Source organism: Homo sapiens, chromosome X, assembly GCF_000001405.40.
Source record: "Homo sapiens chromosome X, GRCh38.p14 Primary Assembly".
NCBI classification, from domain to species: Eukaryota; Metazoa; Chordata; class Mammalia; order Primates; family Hominidae; genus Homo; species Homo sapiens.
In genome coordinates, this window is record NC_000023.11 from 154524720 (window position 1) to 154531389 (window position 6670).

At 52.1% G+C, this 6670-nt stretch overlaps 2 annotated features.

Moving 5' to 3' along the window:
• Window positions 2125-2274: an enhancer, noted in NCBI's record as "active region_30065". NCBI's record gives its function as "activates an Ori minimal core promoter by ATAC-STARR-seq in GM12878 lymphoblastoid cells {active_cell/tissue: GM12878}" and the evidence as "EXISTENCE:reporter gene assay evidence [ECO:0000049][PMID:35858748]".
• Window positions 4615-4909: an enhancer, noted in NCBI's record as "tiled region #11639; HepG2 Activating DNase matched - State 18:Pol2". NCBI's record gives its function as "activates a minimal TATA promoter and a strong SV40 promoter by Sharpr-MPRA in HepG2 cells {active_cell/tissue: HepG2}" and the evidence as "EXISTENCE:reporter gene assay evidence [ECO:0000049][PMID:27701403]".

Sequence of the window (6670 nt, forward strand, 5' to 3'; positions counted from 1 at the left end):
CTACTAAAAATAAAAAAATTAGCTGGGCGTGGTGGCATATACCTGTAATCCCAGTGACTCGGGAGGCTGAGGGAGGAGAATCGCTTTAATCTGGGAGACGAAGGTTGCAGTGAGCCGAGATTGTGCCACTGCACTCAAGCCTGGGTGACAGACAAGACTCTGTCTCAAAAAAAAAAAAAAAAAGAAGTATACAGGAGGATGTGCGTAGGTTATATGCTGTGCCATTTTATATCAGGGACTTGAGCATCTGTGGATTTTGATACCCCTGGGGGTCCTGGAACCAATCCCCGTGGATACCAAGGGAAGACTCCACTCAACTCTGCCACTACAAACAGCATGTAAGCAAATGGGTGTGGCTGGGTTCCCATAAAACTGTATTTACAAACACCCAATGTCTACTTAGGTGAGCTGCACATTGACCTCTTTAGCTCGTTATTCCTTCTTGCATCTCAGATTGTTCCATCTAGTACTGGGTTTCTTCTGCTTGAGGCACACACTTTTTGGTGAGAAAATGTTGGTGGCAAATTCTTTGCTTTTGTTTGCACTTCACCATCATACTTGAAAGATTTTTTTTTTTTTAAGTCGGAGTCTCGCTCTTTTGCCCAGGCTGGAGTGCAGTGGCACAATCTAGGCTCACTACAACCTCTGCCTCCCGGGTTCAAGTGATTCTGCTTCAGCCTCCCACGCAGCTGGGATTACAGGCAAGCGCCACCATGCCTGGCTAATATTTGTATTTTTATTACAGACGGGGTTTCACCATGTTGTCTAGGCTGGTCTGGAACTCCTGACCTCAGGTGATCCGGCCACCTCGGCCTCCCAAAGTGCTGGGATCACAGGTGTGAGCCACCACGCCTGGCCAGCGACCATCATGCCCAGCCAGCCATCATTATATCTTCAAGTTTTGCTTCTGCCATACTTGCTGTCTTCTGTTTCTGTGAAATCAGTTAAATGTATGGAACACCTTCTCATTCTCCTTGCGGCTTCTTCCTCTGTCTTTAGTGTCTTCCCTGAACTTGTCTTTCTGGGTTGTATTCTGAATACATTCTTCTGAGCCAGTTTTTGGTTCCCGCATTCTCTCTTTGATGTTGCGTAATTTGCCACTAAACCAGTCCATCTACTTTTAAACTTACTAGCTCACATTTTACCTTTTTTGAGACAGGGTCTCACTATGTCGCCCAGGCTGGAGTGCAGTGGCTTGATCTTGGCTCACTGCAACCTCCACTTCCTGGCCTCAAGCGACCCTCCCATCTCAGCTTCCTGAGTAGATGGGACTACAGGCACTCGTCACCACACCTGGCTAGTTTTTGTATTTTTTGTAGACGTGGGGTCTCACCATGTTGCCCAGGCTGGCCTAGAACCCCTGGGCTCAAGCAATCTGTCTGCTTGATCCCTCCCAAAGTGCTGGGATTACAGGCATGAGCCACTGCACCCAGCTGTCCCACCACGACTTATTATTTCATTAGATCTGGTTAAGTACGGTTATTTTATGTCTGGCTAACAATTCCAGCGCCTGAAGACCTCACGATCTGTCGCTATTGCTCATTGTTTCTCTTGCAATGTTGTTTCCTGGTGCGCCCGGTTATCTCTGATGATGTGCTTGCCCTCATGCTTTAAAAAGTACCTGTAGGAGGAAGGAGTCTCTCCTGAGAGGGTTTGCTCTGGGTTCTGTCAGACAGGCAGAACCATCTGCATTGGGGAACTGCCCATCCAGGACCCCTTAAGCCAAGTGAAAGGCTTAAGGTTCCATGGTCAACCCTGGGAATTTGAACCCTGGGAACTTGAACCCTGGGAATTTGAACCCTGGGAATTTGAACCCTGGGAATTTGCACCCTGGCTCAGTTGCAATTCTGGGTTTCCTCTCAGTATGATGGGGCAGCAAGTTGGGGGCCTCAAGATTTGATTTCTGTCCTCTTCGCTTTATAGGGCTGTCAAGGAAAAGTTCCTGGGTGGGCAAAGGCAACTTGGGGGTTAATTTGTATCATGGGGTCCTAGTTTTCTCTGAAAATTTGGCCTTGCAAATGTGTGTGTGTGTGTGTGTGTGTGTATGAGTGTGTGTGTGTATATATATATATATTTATATATATATTTGAGACAGGGTCTTGCTGTGTGGCCCAGGCTGGAGTGCAATGGTGTGATCATGGCCCAAGTGAACCTCCCACCTCAGTCTCCTGAGTAGCTAGGACTACAGGCATGTGCCAACATGCCCGGCTAATTTTTGTATTATTGTAGAAACAGGGTTTCATCATGTTGCTCTGCTGGTCTGGAACTCTTGGGCTCAAGCAAAATGCCCAAAGTGCTGGGATTACAGGAGTGAGACACTGTGTCCAGCCATAGAGTCTCACTGTCCTTACAGAAAGCCAGAATTCAGTCTGCTTCTTGTTCCCTCAAAGCTTCCTCGAAGTGTTCTAGTGGAGGCGAGCAGTGAAGCTCTAGGAGGCAAGAGGCCTTCTCAGGGACCCCAGCTTTGGCCTGTATGTCTGGGTGTCGTCCTGGACTAGTCTGATCACGTCTCACAGCTGAGTTTCTCAGCTTCTCCTCCTGCAGTACAGGAAGGACAATCCCTTCCGACTGCTTCTCACAGGGAGAGGGCAGTGGTGAGCCTAGAAAATAAAGGCCCGAAGCCAGCCCCGCCCCATTTGTGCCTCTCCCTCCTCTCCTTTTCTGCTTCGCAGAGCAGACAATGCAACAGTCGCCCCCGCCCAGCTCAGCCTGAAGACCCCTTCTCCACTCCCATCCCTTTCTGGCTCAGCCACCCGGCAGTGGGCCAGGTTCGGATGGAGGGAGGGAGAGGAGCTGGAGAGAGTTTTAAGTACTCTCTGGGCTTCTCACATTGCTGGCTTCAGTGGTTGCTGGACGCAAATTGATGTGATGTCAGACACCGGCAGCAGAGAAGGAAGCTAAGGCATTTGGGTCTGTGCTGCTGTGGCACCTGGGACTCAGTGTGAAGGGATCAGGCTAGGTTTGAAATTCTCTTCCGGCTTAATAATTTGCAGGTCTGGGCTGGGAGGTAAAGCTCTGAGTACACTGCGAGTGTCAGGGGTCCGGCAGGGGGGCTCTTTCCAGCTCCTACCCACTCCCGCGTGGGGTGAAACCTTGAGAGATGAGACACCAATCCAGGGCCTCTGAAGACCCACGAGGTAGAGTGCACTTAACAGTAAATTGTGGGCTGGGTGCGGTGGCTCTTGCCTGTAATCCCAGCACTTTGAGAAGCCTAGGCGGGTGGATCACGGGGTCAAGAGATAGAGACCATCCTGACCAACATGGTGAAACCCCATCTCTACTAAAAATACAAAAATTAGCTGTGTGTGCTGGCGGGTGCCTGTAGTCCCAGCTACTTGGGAGGCTGAGGCAGGAGAATCACTTGACCCCAGGTGGTGGAGGTTGCAGTGAACTGAGATCGCGCCACTGCACTCCTGCACGCCAGCCTGGCGAAAGAGCAAGAGTCTGTCTCAAAAAAAAAAAAAAAGAAAAAGAAAAAAAGAAAAAAAAAAAGAGTAAATTGTGGCCAGGTGCGGTGGCCCATGCCTGTAATCCCAGCACTTTGAGAAGCCTAGGCGGGTGGATCACGGGGTCAAGAGATAGAGACCATCCTGACCAACATGGTGAAACCCCATCTCTACTAAAAATACAAAAATTAGCTGTGTGTGCTGGCGGGTGCCTGTAGTCCCAGCTACTTGGGAGGCTGAGGCAGGAGAATCACTTGACCCCAGGTGGTGGAGGTTGCAGTGAACTGAGATCACGCCACTGCACTCCTGCACGCCAGCCTGGCGAAAGAGCAAGAGTCTGTCTCAAAAAAAAAAAAAGAAAAAAAAGAAAAAAAGAAAAAAAAAAAGAGTAAATTGTGGCCAGGTGCGGTGGCCCATGCCTGTAATCCCAGCACTTTGGGAGGCTGAGGCGGGCGGATCACGGGAGTTCAAGATCAGCCTGGCCAGCATGGGGAAACCCCATCTCTACTAAAAATAAAAATTAGCTGGGCATGGTAGCGGGCGCCTGTAATACCAGCTACTCAGGATGCTGAGACAGAAGAATTGCTTGAACCTGGGAGGTAGAGGTTGCAGCGAGCAGAGATCGTGCCACTGCACTCCAGCCTGAGTGCCAGAGCCACACTCTGTCTCAAAAAACAAAAACAAAAACAAACAAAAAACCCGGTAAATTGCGGGGCCGAGTGCAGTGGCTCACGCCTGTAATCCCAGCACTTTGGGCCGCCAAGGCTGGGGGATCACCTAAGGTTAAGAGTTCGAGACCAACCTGCCCAACATGATGAAACCCCGTCTCTACTAAAAATACAAAAATTAGCCAGGCGTGGTGGCGTACACCTGTAGCCTCAGCTACTTGAGAGGCTGAGGCAGGAGAATCACTTGAACCCAGGAGGTGGAGGTTGCAGTGAGCCGAGATCACGCCAGTGTAGTCCAGACTGGGCGACAGAGCAAAACTCCATCTCAAAAAAAAAAAAAAAAAAAAAAAAAAAAAAAAGAGTACATTGCAGGCCAAGCGTGGTGGCTCACGCCTGTAGACCCAGCTACTCAGGAGGCTGAGGTAGGAGGATGCTTGAACCTGGGAGGTGGAAGCTGCAGTGAGTTGTGATTGCGTCACTGCACTCCAACCTGGGCAACAGAGTGAGATCCAGTCTCAAAAAAAAAAAAAAAAAAAAAAAAAAAAGCAAATTGTGGCTGAATTCTTTGGCATTGCAGGCAGAGAAGGGGTGAAAACAGGGCTCCAGCCTTGAACCGGTCAGCAGGGGTCAGGGAGGCTGAGTGAGTCACCCTATGGAATGGGCCAGGGTGGATCTGGGCTCACAGGCAAGGGCCTCAGTGCTCCTGTGAGCTCCAAGGGGCTGGGGAGGACTGCCTTCTTGTTCAGGGTACAGCTCGTGTTGTTTTCTCGGGCTTATGTCCATGTCTCAGTGTGGACACCCGCAACTGAGGTGACAGTGGAATGCCCTGACCTGATCTCTCATTCTCTCCCATTGTGGACCCAGTGCTGTCCTCACCTGGGACCTCCTGCCTCCACCCAAGTAGGCGCCCAGAGCTGAAGGGACAGTTGCCTGATGGGTTCAGGTGCCAGTGGATGGTCTTCCACCTCCCGGGTTCAAGCGATTGTCCTGCCTCAGCCTCCTGAGTAGCTGGGACCACAGGTGCCCGCCACCACGCCTGGCAAATTTTTGTATTTTTTTTGGTAGGGACATGTTTTCGTCATGTTGGTCAGGCTGGTCTTGAACTTCTGGCCTCAAGTGATCTGCCCATCTTGGCTTCCTAAAGTGCTGAGATTACACGCTTGAGCCACTGCGCCTGGCCTTACTTGGGTGTTGTTCCCTGCCCTGGAACCTACCCTGCTTAGCCTTACCACACCCCATCAGCCCCCAGCCCAACCCGACTCTCAGCCTTGCCACAGCCCCTTCTGGAGGCCACAGGAACCAGGACAAGAGGACTAAAACCACTGCCCCTGTGGCCGAAGCCTGGCCCCCAATCCTGTGCACACAGAGCCCACTGAGCCTGTGACCTGTCCTTGGCCCCCATCAAGCTCCTTTCCCTATCTAGGGTCCAGGTGAACTTGGCATACTTCCTCCCTCTGAAAACTCAAGAGGTGCCACTCCCCATTCAGGGCACAGGAAGAGCAAGAATTGAACACCGGGATGCAGCATGTGTCCCTGTTGCCACAGGTCTCACCAGAGGCCTCCTTCATTCTACGACATCGGGCCCTGCTACCTGCAGCGCCCAGGGTGCGCGTCCTCACCTGTGCTGCGGGTGGAACACTCCTCCCTGGCCACTTTCCAGGCCACTGGTTTGCTCTCCGCAAAGGACAAATCCCAGCACCACCTGGTTATTTTGTTCCCTGCCGGCCTCACCTCCTAGAACCCGGGCCACAAGTGCAGGGACCATAGTGTCTGGTTTCGCCATCTCCCTGGCAGGACACATGCTGCACTGAAACACCCAGGGGCTGTGTGGGGAGCAGTGCAGGGGCTGAACAGCGGCCCCCAAATACATGTCTCCTGGGAGTTCCTGATGTGGCCTTATTTGGAAATAGGAGGTCTGCAGATGTCGCTGAGTTAGGACATAGAAGTCACACCATGGGGAGGCCACGAGAAGACAGGCAGAGTGAGTGGAGTGAGGTGACCACCAGCCCAAGATGCCTGGTTCCCCAGGAGCTGGAGAGGGCAGGAAGGACCCTCCCCTTGGGCCTCTGGCGGGAGTGCTGGATCTTGGACTCTGGCCTCCAGAACTGGGAGAATCAGCCTATGTTGAGAGCTGCCCAGTGTGTGGCCCTTCTGCCTGGAAGGGGTGGCTGGGCCTGGCTGTGCATCACTGTGGACTGTCCCCTCTCCCTTGGCCTCTGACATCAGTCACAAAACCCATCCCCTCTCCTTCCTAAATACTTCTGTGGACTGGCAGTGTTGCTGGAAGTCATCTTGGGTGGGGCAGGGACATGGACAGTAAGAGCGGAAGGTGACCCCACATCCTTGCACCTCAAGCTGGTCTCACAATGACAATATGCGTGGAGCGGAGGAGGACTCAGGAGGTGTCTCTGACACCAAACATGGTCATGGCTGGACATGGGGTCAGAACCAGAAGTGAGGAGGCTCCTCAGTGGCCACAGAGGAAGCACCCGGGTGACTTGGGGAGTGGGACAAGGAAGTGGGTCCTCAGGGAAGCAAATGACAAGGGGACAGGAG